Consider the following 17,091-nt stretch of genomic DNA (forward strand, 5'->3'; position numbering starts at 1 on the left):
TTCATTATTCTATCCTTCCCATGGTTCCTAAATCTCTTGCTCTGAGAACTCATACTTATGGATGTGAAAAACTGTGATATATTTTCCATGCTTCTTTAATTTTCCCTCAAGTTTTTCCAGATTATTTTCTCTTTTGATTTACATATGCAGACAGTTCCTCCTCTTAATTCCAAAATCAACAATTGAGTCTTGATTCATGCTGAAATTTTATCTCTTCAATTAAAATTTTTATAATTTTCAAAACCTTTTCTAGTTCTATGCCCCCTTTTAAATGCAACTATGATTAAACATTACGTATTCTTAAATTTTAAATAAAATACTAATTACACTTTGAAGTATTCTTCTGAATTATAGCTGAGGTTGGTTGTTCTTTTATTCATTTTAATCTTCTTTCATCCTCTTGATTGTCCTCAATTGTCTGATTATCCCTGTCTGTTTATATTTGCAAATGAAAGATTACTTTAGAGTATATAGAGTGTAAGAGCTTTCCCTGAGGTTATTTGGGTTTGTTTTCCTAAGTGGCTTCTCCTTTAAATGGAAGAACAGTACAATTTAAGCAGGTAGGGCACGCGTATACGCAGGTACCCCAAAAAGGTACCTGGATAGGAAGTCAAGTTGGCTGGGAACAGACAAAACTGTTTTTCTCCTGGGGTAGCACAGTGCCTCCACTTCTCTCTCAGGTTCTAACACCTAAGTAGATGCCCATACTAAACTGCTGACCTACTTTCTTAAGAGAATGATTCTGAAACTTCAGGCCTAAGAGTGGGCATCATAGTTGTTTAGGCTGGAGAAAGGGTAGGAGGGAAGCCCAACTGACCTAGCACTGTGGAAAAGAAGTCTTAAGAAAATTCTTAAGTATTACCCAACTGCCCACTACTACTGATTGGTGTTTGTTGACTCCAAGTTTGGAGCCATTCCAAGGTTTCCCTGGGAAAACCTGAGCTTACCTCTGTTATCTTGGGTTCCAGTTTCCTCTGGGATTTTGCTGTCAATCCGATTCCATGAACTTTCTATCTTCTTCAAAATTTCTTGGTCCTCTGATGGTACCTGTAGTGGACTGTGAACTGTAATTTTACTGTTCAACATGTTTTCTCCCTGACCCCTTTTGCTAACAACATCATCCCTCTTTTTTATGGGGAATGTATTCATGTGCTTTGGGTAGAGGTGAGCCTTCCCAGTCACCACAGGAGTGGCCACTATACCTAGGTCTGGCTAGAATATCCCATTCCCATCTCCTTTGAGTGACAGTCATCTTTGGCTGAAAATAAAGCTGATACAGAAGGAAACGCAGACCAAAAATGTTGAGACAGTAACAGGGTTGCAGCCATACTACTAACACTATTCAAGTTTAGATCCATCTATGCACCTAAGTTGTAGTTTCTTACCTCTCTCCCCACATACACCCAAGTACACATTAAAGTTATAGAGCTAATGAGGTCCTTTTGTTCCTCTTAAGGGTAGTTTGACTAATATAATAACATCTGTTCCCGCTTTTCAGAATTATGACTTAATTCAATCTTTAAACAATATCAGTGGGACACTGAAAAGAAATTAAAGGAATGTACTAAATCCACCATTTTTTAAAAATTTCAGTCAATAACTAAAATAAGCCCGGATAAATAGAGTTATACTTTTAAAATTTGTTAAACATACAATAAGGAAATAGCTATAAACTTTATTTAGTACATCTTATCTTTCCACCCTCAGAGGGAAAAAAGGCAGATATAAAAACCAATTATCTCTTTACTAGTTTTCTTCTAAGTCAGGATTCCAATAGTTTCAGAAAGAAAAAGAAGGAAGAAGGGAAGGTTCGTAATGATTTAAAATTTTTTCTTTTTTTTTTTGGTTTTAATAGAGACAGGGTCTCACTATGTTTCCCAGGCTGGTTTCGAACTCCTGAGCTCATGCAATCCTCTTGCCTCAGCCTCCCAAAGTACTGGGATTACAGGCATGAGCCACCACGCCCAACCATAATTTAAAATTTTCTAGCAAATTATTATTTTTTAAAGCTCTCTTATATGACAGAAACCTTTCAAAGAAAAATTCTGTAGCTACTGTTGTGATTACTGGGGACAGAGTAGGGAAAAAGGATGGTCAATAACTCCTCAATGGATAAAAAACAAAATCCAGTACTCCTTTTTCAGACAGGGTTTCACTCCATCACCTAGACTGGAGTGCAGTGGTTCCATCATTGCCACTGTAACCTTAAATTCCTGGGCTTAAGCAATCCTACTGCCTCAGCCTCCCAAGTAGCTAGGACTACCAGTACGTGCCACCACACCCACCTAATTTTTAAATTTTTGTAGAGATGGTTACTGCTATGTTGACCAGGAGAGTCTCAAACTCCCAGCCTCAAGCAATCCTCCTGGCCTCCCAAAGGGCTGTCATTACAGATGTGAGTCACTGCAACCAGCCTGAAATCCAGTCCTCTTGAGCTAAGGTTCATATTGTATGGTTCACACCTCAAATACCTATGCCTCAAAAACTCTATATCCCAGAAACAACTGGCAAAATGTTGTATGATGTATTTAAGTAAATGTTGGAGGAGAATAGGTCTACATTTTTCATTATAATCTAACTAAAGTCCATGACCTAAAAAAGGTAAAGAAAATTGATCCTGACTGGGAAAAAAAAAATGACAACTTCATTCCAAAATAGTATATAAGAATTAAATCCAGTAAAATGTCAAAATAAGTAATAAATTACCTCCAACACAGAAGGTAGTATAGTGTGCTAAATAATGTAGATTACCTCCATTCTTTAGAAAAACTCTGTTAAAAATAAATCATTAGCCCTAAGGTAGATGAAGACAACAAGGTTAAGTAGTAACTGTCCCCAAATCACACAGTGTTAAAGCAGGATTCAAAAGCAAGTGGCTCAACTTGATTTCAAACTCTTTCCATATCATGCTTTTTTCCTGGAGAAATAGTGTAAGAAAAGAAATACAAAGGCATTGGGTTATTTCAGAATTAAATGTAATTTTTGTCAAGCACAGAAACTGTGAAGTATTCATATGCCTGTGGTTTAATGAAACTGGAATCTGGCCCTTCTTCCTACTTGCTCTCTGATCAAAGTTTTCAGAAAAACTTCTGCTTATGGTAGTGAGGTCAGGAAGACCTTCGTATTTGATTAAGATATATGAATCTTAACATTCTAGGTTGCCTAAGCCAATGAATGGGTACCCTGGCCAAGCAAAGCTGTTCTTCTGGGATCCCTGGGATACAAAACAAAACTGCTCATGCATAGAAGACAAAAAGCTGTAATACCAAGCCTGTGTTTTTTATGTGTTAGCATAAAAGACAAAAGGATCTGGTGATTAAGCTAAAGTAGGTTAAGAACTCCCTCATATGAAAAGACATCTCACATACTAAGGCATATTCACAACTTAAATCATATTACAGTCCTTCGATCTGGCCAAGAGAAGCCAGGTACTGAAGTTTAGGTGGCAGCCAGAAAGCTGGACTGAGTGGTAGAGAGGATCTTGGACTGTGAGGTGGGGATCTGGATGCAGAGTAAGAAAAGGAAGAAAAGGTACAAGTGAAAGGAGTCCACAAAGTGAGTTAGAGATACATTCTAAAGGTCCTGAGATTTAGAAAACAGCATGATCAAATCTTTGCCTTCATACTTTTCATTTTATCTAGAACCCTAGTATTATCTGCTAAGCCTATAGCAGAGACGCCATAGGCATATGGTTTGCTTTCATATTCCCAGAAAAGGACTTAAGAGTCAGAAAAGGATGTGCATTTCCCATAACCCTTATCTCTCCCTCTTTATTAACAGTATGATAAAGTACTACAAATTTTTAAGTTCTCAAGGAATTTAAGAACATATTCTACATAAATTCTAAAAACTTAACAAATTCAGAATACAACCATTATTTTGTGAACTGTTCATTACAGAATCCCAACCCCTTAACCTATCTACTATCAGCTCCACCTAAAACAATTAACCAAAATGTACAATTAGAACTGAAAATATTTACTAGCAATCTATAAATTCAATAAGATAACCAAATTTAATAGAATTAGAAATTTAAAATAAGGGATTCTCCTAAATTAAAAAAAAAAAAAACCAACCATCTCAGTAGTCAGAATTTTCATAAGACTCTCTATTTTTATTCATACTTCAGTTTTAACAATTAATTTATGAAAATCCTTATAGGTCACAAATATTTTCACAAACATTAGGTCACCTAACCTCCCTCAAAAGAAAGTATTACCAGGCCCCTTTTATGAGAGACTGAGATATTTAATTTTTACATGTCACACTTACCTAACAGCATGAATTAAGAGGTATAGGAGGGTCTAAAACAGCATTCTTCCCACTTCACATTTTGAGCACTTACTGTAAGAGGTAATCTACAAGGTATGTATTTTGATTTGATGTTTCAGAAATATTGAAGAGTGACATTCCCATTTATTCCACCTATGAAATCCATCCCAAGATTAATCCATGAATGTTCCCAAGACAGGAGTTAGGGAAACAAGATGAAATAAAACAGAGCAGTATTAACTAGCTACATTCAGGTAAAGTGTTTTGGAGTAAGGAGGTCTTCCATAACCCTCCTTACTCCATCATTTCTCTCTGGTTATCCTACTTGGGGATAGGTCACTATACATAAATTTGAGTAAGACGGTATTCATACAGATCTGTAAAGAGGACTTAGAAGCAAGATGAAATGGCTAGTGAACTCTACAATGCATACAAAACATATTTCTTGAGCAATTACTAGGGAGGCCATAAAAGGATGGTAAGAAGGCAGTACAATATGAGAGTTAAGAAAGCAGACTTTCATGTGAGACTACCCATGTTTATATTCCATTTCCATCACTTACTGTGACCTTGAACAAGTTACTTATTCTTTACCTTGATTTTTTCAACTACAAAGTGTAGATACTATGTACCTCTTAGAACTGGGAAGATTAAATGATATACAGCAGTGTAATACACATAAACCAATTAGAATTGTGGCTGGCACACAGTAAGCACTCACTAAACTATTACTGGGGTTAAAATTATTCAATGTTCTAGGTGTTATAAACACCTTCAGGAAAGAGGTGATATATGATCTGGCCCTTTTATGGATAAAGTAGTCAACAGAGAGGGATATCCAGAAAGAACAGAGATGAACAGGGCTTGAAAGCTGATGTTTGACCTATCAGATCCTATACCACTACAAAATCACTAGTTTTTAAAATACAGTGCTGACACACAATAAAATGTCAGTTACAGAAATAGATTCCCATACCTTTGGTCTAGCAGTTTTACCTCTGGAATATATCTTACCACAATACAGAAACAATATCAAAAAGTCCACTTCAGTATTGTTTGTAACAGCAGAACTTTGGATACAACCAAAATTTCCATAAACTGGAAAGCAATTAAGTCCTGATACCTGACAAGGGAATACTCACAGCCATTTAAAGGACTAAGATAACTATATGTGTATTAACGTGAAAATCTATGATGGAATATTAATTTAAAAAGAAAGTTTCAAACAATATTTTTATAATGATCTCATTTATGCAAAACAAAATTACATAGATATATCTGTATATGTGTGAAAATGCACAGAAAAAGGCATAGGATTACATACACTTACAATTTACACCTAGGGATATAAAAAATCTTCAACTCTTACTCTGTATCTTCCTCTACTGTTTAAATTTTCAGTTCACAGTTACTATATGATTTAATAAAAGTGGAAAAAGATACTGCAATTTTAAGATTCCTCCAATATAAAAAAATCAAATGGATAAATAAAAAGAAAACATTACTCACAGTTTAACATTTGGTGAAAACTTTAGACAAGTTTGGTTTAAAGGATATTACCCCCTCAATAGAATTAAATTTATCTACATTGTATCTTAAAAGGATATTACCCCCTCAATAGAATTAAATTTATCTACATTGTATCTTATACAAGCTCTTCTTTTTTGACATTTTCTGAACAGCAACTATGTAAGTTTTAAATTACTCCTAGTTCATTTGAAATAGATAAAATAAACAGTGAAACAGTTCTTCAAAGAACATTGGAAAGATAGTGCAAGAGAACTACACAACAGTCATAGTTTATAGGTCCTGCAATAATAATGTATAGAGATTTTCAAGTTCAAAGACAACCTAAGGGCATCATCAAATCAGTAAGAACACTATATAGATGCTGGCATTGCTTATATTTTCTTCATAAAAGTACTTCTGTACTAGAATCTGTAAGGGAGGGAAAGAGAAAAGAAAAAAAAATGTCAAGCCTGTTTAGAGGTTTAAGCAATAAAAGAAGAAAAATTGCTTCAAAAGATCACTGACTTGGCTGGGCACATGGGCTCATGCCTGGAATACTAGCACTTTGAGAGGCCAAGGCAGGAGGATCACCTGAGCCCAGGAGTTCTAGAATAACTTGGGCAACACAGCAAGACTATCTCTACAAAAAAAAAAAAAAAAATTAGCTAGGCATGGTGGCATGCACCTGTAGTCCCAGATACTTGGGAGGCTGAGGTGGGAGGAACACTTGAGCCCAGGATTTCGAGGCGGCAGTGAGCTATGATCATGCCACTGCCCTCCAGCCTATGCAACAGAGCAAGACCCTGTGCCTAAAAAAATTAGAATTTAAAAAAACACATAACTGACTTGATTAAGTGGAAAACATCTAAAATTCCTTTAACCATAAAACCCCACACAGATGTTAGCTACTTAACAAACACAGGAAACTGCTTAGTACAAGTAGCCAATTTTAGTATTCAGGCCTTCAGCTTATATAAATTCAGTACTTATTCTTTTTTTTTTTTTTTTTTTTGGAGATGAGTCTTGCTCTGACACCCAGGTTGGCGTGCAGTGGCACAATCTCGGCTCACTGCAACCTCCGCCTCCCGGGTTCAAGCAATTCTCCTGCCTCAGCCTCCCGAGTAGCTGGGACTACAGGAGCATGCCACCACACCCAGCTAATTTTTTTTGTATTTTAATAGAGACGGGGTTTCACCATGTTCCCCAGGCTGGTCTTGAACTCCTGAGCTCAGGCAACCCGCCCACCTCGGCTTCCCAAAGTGCTAGGATTACAGATGTGAGCCACCGTGCCCGGCCCAAATTCAGTACTTATAAAGATGTATATACTGAGCAGATATTTGGTTTATTGTTGTATTGTGGAAATACATAAAATAAAGGCATTATTCAAATAATGAGGACAGACTATGAAACAGATAAGTCAACTGATTAACTATTTGGAAATACAAGATTAAGTTCCTATTCCCCTCAATGAACCCATATAAATTTGAAATAAATGAATAAAATGTAAAAGTTAAGAGGCACACTAGCCAAGAGATGGAAGCAACCCAAACGGTCCATTAACTAATGAATGGATAAATAAAATGTGATCTATACATACAATGGAATATTTAAAAGGAAATCCAGTCACATGCTACAACATAAATGAACCTCGAGAATAGTATATTAACTAACTAGTAAGTTATTATTTTTAAAAAGAGGTATGTACTAAATTACTTAAAGCCACTTTTTAAAAAATTACTAAACTATAAAAAGATCAAATAAACCACTTACTCTAACTTCTTTCTAACATTTCAGTGGCCAATAAGGTTAAAAACACAACATATAAGACTAAAAGGAAAAAGGATGCACATAAACTGAATCTGTAAAATGAGTATCTTTACAAAACTGATGTAAGGAAAAAATATTTACAGTTTCTTCAAATAAATTTGAAAAACTAACATGAATAATCTTCATAGAAAATATAAATTAAAATATTAATGAAACTAAACCAACAGTGCATTAAAATAATTCATCATACCAAGTATTCAAAACACAATTAAAATTAGGAAATCTTTTATTACAATTCACCATATGGACATACTGAAGGGGCAGAAAAAGAACTGACCATTTCAAAAGATGCCAAAAATGCATTTGATAAAATTTAGTACATTATTTCTAATAAAACTTAAGTAATTTAAGAAAAAGTGATGTACCCTAAATTGATAAAAGATATCTGCATTATACTTAGTAGTAAAACAACAGCACTTCCATTAAAAATAAGAGAAAGACAAGTATAACCTCTGTTACCACTGACATTCAACATTTTGGGGGTGGTTCAAAACTCACGCAATAAGAGAACAAAAACAAACACAAGGGACAAATACTGGAAATGAGAGAAAAAATAATTTACTGGAATCAATATGACATTTGAGTCAGAAAATTCAACAGAATAAACTGAATACAAGAATTCAGTTTAGTGGCCATATACAAGATTAAAATATGCCAATCAATAGCTTCCTATATTCCAACAATAACTAATTAAGAAAGTATAATGGAATAAAATATACCATACATGATAGCAGGAAGAACTATAAAATAATCTGAAATAAATTCCACAAGAAATGTGTAAAATCTATACAAAAACTAAAATTTTATTAAAGACAGATGAAGGGCCTGAAAATACATAAGTATGCCATGTTTCCGAATGGGAATATTCAGTATTATACATATATTTCTCTCCAAAATTAACACAAATTTCAATGTATAATCTGAGAATATTTCATGGTCACGTACAAAAGATGATTCTAAAGCATGTCTGACATGTTAAATGAACAATATCCAAAACTCTTGAGAAAGAAGCTCAATGAGTGAGAACTGCCTTCTAAGATACCAAACCATGCTAACATATTAGGCTGAATCATATGAAACCAGATATTCAATGACTTGTGGCTTATAAAAATAATTTCGCCAAGGTTCAACTGTGAAATTCACTCAAAGTCTCCCACCCCACTTCCACCCACAAACTTCTTTCCACGTAGTAAGAAACAGACATAAGAGTTTACTAAATATTTAATACTAATAAAGCTTGGTGAAAAACCAACAGGGCTCTTTCCTATGTTTCACTACAGTGCAACTTACTCAGTTAAGGCAAAAAACTAAAAGGGAGGTAAAAGAAGAAGTGGTGTAAGGGGAGAAAGTTCCCTCTAACAATACTGGACGAAGAAGGATATCTAAGCTGAAAACTAAAGGATGAGAAAAAACAAAGAACCAGGGGAACACCACACTAGGAAGAAAGTAAAAAGACCCTAGCTAGAAAGTCTGCATGTTTCAAAACAAGGAGGGTCAGTGCTACTAGACGACAGTCAAGGAACTAGAAGGGCTGGAACAACAAGGAGCAGCCATACAAAGTTCTGTGGGGCAAGTTAGGAGTTTGGATTTTATTCTAAAAGCAATGAGAAATCAAATAACAATGACATTTCAGAAAGATTAGCCTAATGCTACGTGAAGAATGAATGAAGAATGGGGATTCAGGAGAAAAAGCCAGGAGATCAAATTAGGAGGCTACTATGAAGTTCAAGTAAGAAAATAGCCAGGGTTAAGGCGATGGTAGTGGAGAAGGAGAGAAGGAGAAAAATTCAAGACATATTTTGGAGGTAGAATGGACCTCTCCTAGTCTACCTCCTACATAGGGTGGAGAAACATGACCTAGTCCTAAACAAAGCATCTTTTTCCTTAGTGATAGTGGCTGGTTCAAGAATGGACACATGACCAAAGCTTGGCCCACAAGATTATTTCAGGAACCAGGAATGACTTTCATTCTTGTTTTGGTAGTCATAAGGACAATATAATCATAGAATTGTATCAATATAAAACATTAATTACCCTCCAATATCCACAGTCCCCTTCTTTTAGCAAAAGACTACTTCTCCACAAGTTTTACCTGGGTACATGGCCACTCAGCAAGAGCTGAGTCTTAGATATGGCTGCGTAAGAAATTTCTGGTCAATGGGATATAATGGAAAATGACGTTGGCAACTTGTTGGTCAATTCCTCAAAAGGAAGTTACCTATGCTGACCTTTCTGTTTCTTATTTCTCCAGTATTAGTTTACTAGCGCTACCATAACAAAATACCATAGACTGGGTAGTTTAAACAACAGATATTTATTTTCTCACAGTTCTGGAGACTGTAAGTCCAAGATCTGGGTGTCTGCAGATTTGTTTCTCCTGAGGCCTCTCTCCTTGGCTTACAGATGACCACCTTCTTGCTGTATCCCCACATGGCCTTTTCTCTGTGGGCATGTATCTCCGGTGTCCTGTGTTCAAATGTCCTCTTTTTATAAGTACATCAGTCAGATGGATTAAGGCCCACTCATATGACCTGATTGAACCTTAATTACATTTTTAAAGGACTTATCTCCAAGTACAATCACATTCTGAAATACTTGGGGTTAGGGCTTCAAAATATTAATATTAATGTTGGGGACACACAGTTCAGCCCATAACAGGCTGAAACATGGACATGATGCTAGTGAGCCACAGTAGATCTTGTAGATGAACACTCCAAAGCAGAGCTGTCCAATAAAACTTTCTGTGATGGAAATATTCTACATATGCACTCTCCAATATGGTAGCCACTAGCTACATGTAATATTTAAATTAAAAATTAAAAAAAATTTAACTCAAATCCTTAGATGCGCTAGCCACATTTCAAGAGCTCAGCAGCAACCTGTGGCTAGTGGCTACAGTATTGGACAGCACTGATTAAGGGATGGTGTATCAAGTGCAAGACAGCAGATACTTAGATGTGTGAATAACCTGAAGGTCTACCTCTGGAGTAGCACATAAAAGAATAACAAACTTCTATCTTGCCTGATGTGTTCTGGAGTCTCTTTGTTCAAATGATCCATCCTATACCTTAACTAATACAGTTAATTGGAAATGACACGCTGCTCTAACAAACTCCTAAAATCTCTGGTAAGGCTTAGAGAACAGGTAGCAAGGAAACATCTCAGGCTGGAGATCTAATGATCTGTGCTATACAGTTGCAGAACATTTAGTAAAACTCTTGCCTGCAATAATTGGAAGGGCACATCATATGCCTACTAAGTTTGTAGTTCTAAGAAAAGCAGTTAGAAAAACTCGAAATATGGTGTGTTGGCTATTTAAAGATCAACAAGAAAGATCAATTCACCTATAAAGCAGTTTGCAAGCAGAGACAGACATGAAAACAGTGCTACTAAAAAGAAGCTTTCTCAGTGGCAAACTCCGACCTACAAGAGTCCAGTAATTTGGGGCCTCCCAGGATGGAAAAGGCAGCTGCTTCTGTGCTCTAAATACCAGGAAATAACTTTGTGAGTTCAAGGGTTCTCTGTCAGGTAGTAGCAAAGATCAAGTTAAGAGTGTTGCTTTTCCACCTGTAATGGTTTCTTCTTAGAAAGAAGACAGGACAGCAGACATTTTGTAGCACAAATACCTTCTCTCAATTATTCAGTCAAATGCTAATCTAGGTACTGCTGTGAGGGGATTTTGCAGATGTAATTGAAGTTCCTAATCAACTGACTTTAAGCCAGGGTGATCATCCTCAGTGAGCCTGACCTAGTCAGGTGAGCTCTTAAAAGAGATCAGGTTCTTCCGAGCAAATGAGACTCCAAACAGCAGCTGAGTCTACAATTGTTCTCTCTTCGCTGTATCTTCCCTTCCTGACTGCCTATGGAGAACAGCTTCAGCCTAAGCCCATGGATTCCACCTTGCCCACAATCTTCTCCCACTAACTGCCTGCCGTACAGATTTCACACTTGCTTAGCCAGCCCTCACAATCATGTAAGCCAAATTCCTTGTAATAAATCTCTTAATACATAACAATCATATATAAATCTACTTGCTCTGCTTCTCTGGTTAAACCCTTACTGATACATCATCCAAGACTATTATTTCAGATCCTCTCGAGGTAGCCAGGAAACCTAAGGGAGAGAGGAGCTAGCCTAGCACAGAGACCAGTAAATAAGAGAATCAGCTGGTTTCCAAAACTTAGGACTAAGAGATATTTTGCTATAGTTATTGTTACATAGTCCCGATCTAAGAAAAACAGAAAAGAAATCTATTATGTTTTTGAAAGAGTTTTACCAACAAACTACATTACTGGCCTAAAAATCTTACACTTGAACTTTAAGTAACCCTACCGGCCCTGCATCTATACCAACAGGTAGGGGGCTACAAAAGTTGTACACTTCCTAGGGATGTCACACCCTCCAATGCCTACTACTTCAAATGTGGCTAAGGAAGATAACAAACAAGAAAGAATCATCTAAAGAACTAAGCAAAGGAAACAGACAGCAGTGAAAAGAGCATTCCTCTCATAGAGGAAAATCAGTATAACCAAGAAAATTACTCAGTAGCCAGAGCAAAGTTGTCACAACTCCTCCCCCGAAGGATTTCATTATTAATATGTACCAATGACTGCTGTGTACTTCCTATTCTTCCCTTCTCTAGAAGAGTTTTCATTATGATTATCCTATTCCTACTCACTACTACACAATGGGTTGGGTGAAAAGAGGGAGAGATAGTTGTTTATTGCTTTATAGATCACTAGAATTCTCTGAATTAGGAGGAAAAGCATTTTGTATATATCTTTCACTTGGAGCTGTATGTAGTAACTGGATGGGACTTTGAATTGATTCTCTTGAGGAAAGAAACAATTAGGTGTTGGAAGAAAGGTTTGCACAAATGGTAGGTGGCCAGAAGGGTGAGCCCAATTCTCAAAAAAAACAAAGGTTTAGGTTGGAGCTGTAAACCTGATAGTCACTGGTATATAGATATGTAACGACACAATAGTTAAAATCATCTAAATGAGACCAGACACAAAACAGAAAAGGGTCCAATGAGGTAAATAATCAAAGTATGTTTGCTGTGCGGGGTAAAAGGAAGCAAGATGACCAACAAAAAACAGTGAGGTACAAACAGGAGAAGGTGGTATTACATGAGGAAGAGAGGATTACATTTTAAGAAGCAAGAATCAGTCAACTGCTATAAAAAGGAGTAAATAAGAAACAGACACAAGAATTAAATACTATATCCAAAAAGAGATCCATGTATCTTTGAAAAACAAAGTACAAAGAAAAATTTCTAAGAATTGTTAAATACTGGAGTGAGGAAGTTCTCCAGAAGTCATAAAAGAATAATACATTTTACTAAACAATAAATTTTTCCATGTTGTGAAAACAATGTCAAGGGAGAATACTGTAACACATAACACTATGAAAAATTAATACTATAAATACTATCAACAAATCAATAAGAAAACAACAAGACAATCCTAATAGAAAAATAGGTAAAGGATAAACCAGGAAATTTTCAAGACATCCAAATGAAAAACAAAGATTAAAAAACTTATACTCAATGTTGACAGTAATCAGAAAAATGAAAACAAAACACCATTTTTTGTTTAACAGATTTTTAAAACTAAGTAAATTAACCACATCTAGGAACATTCTCATACACTGCTGATGCAAGCAAAACTTGAGAGTATTTATCAAATTTAACATGTGCATACTCTAGCCCAACAATTCCATTTCCAGGAATCCATCCCAAAGAAATAGTTTCATACTCAAAAATAACTGTACAAGGATGTTCACTTCACTAATAGCAATGTAGTGAAAACAATCTAAATGTCTACCAAAATAAAAGATCAAATAAATTATGAACATTTATATTATGGAACATTCATAAGTAAATGAGAATAATGTGGCAAATATTAACATACTCTAACACACACACACACGCACTCAGTCTCAAGAAAGAAACAAACATTTGATATACACCAACTGTTAGCAGCATTTACTCTAAGAATGGAATAAAAAGCCCTATATACTAGAAGACATTTTTGTAAGTATAAATACCGTCATTAGTTTTTATTTTTAAATATATAAAAATCATAATCTGAAGACTCATCTCTTCAATTGATATATTTGAAGAAAGCTCATCAATAAAAATTTCAGCAAGCAAAATTTCTAAGTGGTACCTCTGCTCTTTGTGATAATTTCACTACAACATAACAAGGAAAAAGAATGAAAAGACGTATTTCAGGTAATGATTAATTCTGAAGACAGAATAATAGGTGATTTTTCTATTCTTTAGATCTTTTTGAGTTTGTCAAGTTTTCTGCAAATATGTGTTTCTACAAATAGGTATAAATTAATGAATAACATTTAATTATATGTAACGCTATATTTAAAATCTTAAGAATTTTCATCCTACACTGTCTTGTAATTCAATCTTCATATTTTAACATATCTCCACCTGCATCAATCACAAGTATATTAATATAGATACTCTCCTTTCTTACTATAAAACCTTCAAGGTAAAATTAGAATGGATGACTCTTTAGTATAATCTAGTTGTCAAGGACACTCTAGAAAAATCGTACATACAGACCTCATCTTAAGAACAAACAAAATATCAAAAATCACTGAGTATTCCAGGAGACACTCATAAAAGATATAAAGTCTACCCTACTAGTATTCAAAAACCAAAACAAAATGATCCCTATGATCATAAGGCACACAGTTACACCAAAAATGAACATAGATGCCCCAAAAAAGTATAGGATTTATACGGGGCTAAAATCATCTTCACAGTTTTAAATTATTACTAGTTTTATCTCAACAAAATTTAAATTTTATGAATCTAGAAATAATGTCCCCATTTCTTCAAAACCCTTATAATACCTAGGTAATTTTGCTAGATGTTAATAATGCTTCTTAAATAAATTTAGTTCAGAGAGTATACTAATAGTGATAAAACTATTAGCTAATAATCATAGCTAATAAGATTAGATAATAGCTAATAATCACGTGGAAAACTGAATTCTATCATTGTGCTAAGTTTCAATGTATGTAAGTTTTACTAACTACAATATGTACAAATTAACTTATTCATATTTAACATATACAGCTATAATTTTAAATATAATTTTTTTTCATATTCACTGGGAAGGAAATAGTTCAGATTAGACAATGAAAACAGCCACACATAGGAGATAATAAATGTTTGTCAGGTAAAAGAATTAACTCCTGTAGGAGTTAATTCTAGTATGTGCTATACTAGAGGCTTTGAAACAAGACTGTTTTCATTATTAATGCCATTAAAAAAATAAACATGGCACAGAGAAAGAAAGAGACAACAATGGGGTCAAAGGCATTTCTAACACTAACTGTAACACAAACAGGTGGGCTTCCTTTTCTTGTCAATCTTCACATTTAGGTTGACAGGAAAAGAGGGAAAGGAAAATAGATCTCTATGGTAACATATATTTATTCTAAATTCCAAACTAATGGAACCAACCTTTCCATAGATACTTCCAAAATAGGTTTCAATCAAATGTTTTTAAGCTAATTAAGAGATGATCCATAAAGAAACCCAGACCAAGAAATAACTTTAGAGCAGGTTCTTATTTCTTCACTTTCGTATTTTTCTTTTCTATTCCTTTCTTTTGTGGGGGAAGATGGGGATAAAAAAAGTGAAAGGTTAAATTAGGCAAGCTAATAGTATTTTTGGGAAAAGGAAAGGGGGAGGCAAAATTCCCTGCAAGAGAGGCACAGCCATAAAGCAGTTCCATAAATGTGCCATTTCTACAATGTACTTTCAAATAATCTCAAGAAATAAAAAATGAATTTATTTTCTAAACTGAAATAGCACTATCTGGTACACATTATGATTTTCTCTACCTTATAAGTCAGTTTGAGTATGAAGTAATAAGCAATAAGAATATACTTAAGTAAAATCGGCCGGGTGCTGTGGCTCACGCCTATAATCCCAGCACTTTGGAAGGCCGAGGGGGGCGGATCCAAGGTCAGGAGTTCGAGACCAGCCTGACTAACATGGTGAAACTTCGTCTCTACTAAAAATACAAAAATTAGCCGGGCGTGGTGGCGCCGGCGCCTGTAGCCCCAGCTACCTGGGAGGCTGAGGCAGAAGAATCACTTGAATCTGGAATGCGGAGGTTGCAGTGAGACGGCATGGCGCCACTGCACTCCAGCCTGGGAGACAGAGCGAGACTTCGTCTCAAAAAAAATAAAATAAAATAAAAATAAATTAAAAAGAAAGAATATAGTTAAGTAAAATCTACAGTCCTCCTCAATCATGGATTCCATCTCTAGCCCTACCATCATTTTTAAACTATCCCTCTCTAGACCTCGTTTTAGTCATCATTTTCATGGTACAGCAGCCAAAAATATACATAATCTATTTTGTGCAGATGTAGCATAGCATTATTTAAAATGAGAATTATGATTCTGGTTATCGCCAACGCCTTAACTTCACCCTACATTATACTAAGCTTTTACCAAAAAAGCATGCTGTATTTCAGATCATTTACTCAAAACACATTTTTTTTACCCTTGACGCATAAAAACCTATTTAATATTTTTCAATTTATTCCCAATAATCTTGTTTCCCATTCTTATCAGCATAATTCACTATGATCAGCAAGCTTTGAGAAATTTCACCATATATCAAAATTGTTTATAAAGGCTGCGCACAGTAGCTCACATCTGCAAGCCCAGCACTTTGGGGGCCAAGGCGGGCGGATCACTTGGAGCCGGGAGTTTGCGACCAGCCGGGCAAACATGGTGAAACCCTAACTCTAATAAAAATACAAAACAATTAGCCAGGCGCAGTGGCTCACGCTGCAACTCCAGATACTCAGGAAGGTGAGATGAGAATTGCTTGAACCCGGGAGGTGGAGGTTGCAGTGAGCCGAGAGCACGCCACTGCACTCCAGCATAGATGACCTTGTCTCAAAAAAAAAAAAAAAAAAAAAAAAAACAGAAAAAAAGAGTTGTTTTTAAAGACACTAATAATGGCTCCAATAGGAATTCCTCAAGTACTGTAACGGTTTTTGTTGTTGTTGTTGTTGTTGTTGTTGTTGTTGCTTGAGACAGAGTCTCACTCTGTCGCCCAGACTGGAGTGCAAGGGCGCGATCTCTGCTCACTGCAACCTCTGCCTCCCAGGTTAAAGCAATTCTCCTGCCTCAGCCTCCCAAGTAGCTGGGACTTACTGGCGGGAGCCACTACGCCCGACTAATTTTTCTATTTTTAGCACTCTGATGTTTCAAATGTAAAATCTTTACATTTCCTTCTCCCCACTCTCTTTTATCTCTAGTCTCACTCAGAAGTAAACTTAAAAACTAACCCCAGGCTGGATGCAGTAGCTCACGCCTATAATCCCACAGCATTTTGGGAGCCTGCGGCAGGAGGATCACTTGAAGCCAGGAGTTCAAGACCAGCCTGGGCAACAAAGTGAGACGCCATCTCTACACACACACAAAAAGTTG

The 17,091-nt window shown here is 35.8% G+C and overlaps 1 protein-coding gene across 14 annotated transcripts in view; it reads right to left on the bottom strand.

Annotated features, from left to right (window-relative positions):
- The window catches only part of ANKRD17 (ankyrin repeat domain 17), a 185,423-nt gene that overhangs the window by 160,658 nt on the left and 7,674 nt on the right, over nucleotides 1-17,091 (bottom strand). The window contains exon 1 of one of the 14 annotated variants that reach the window (XM_047450039.1): nucleotides 948-16,555. The exons of the other annotated variants lie outside the window; for them this stretch is intronic. The gene's annotated coding sequence lies outside the window, so the exon portion shown is untranslated. Of the gene's footprint in view, nucleotides 1-947; nucleotides 16,556-17,091 lie in introns of those variants that run through there. 14 annotated transcript variants of the gene reach the window in all.

The sequence above is a fragment of the Homo sapiens genome, chromosome 4, assembly GCF_000001405.40.
Source record: "Homo sapiens chromosome 4, GRCh38.p14 Primary Assembly".
NCBI classification, from domain to species: Eukaryota; Metazoa; Chordata; class Mammalia; order Primates; family Hominidae; genus Homo; species Homo sapiens.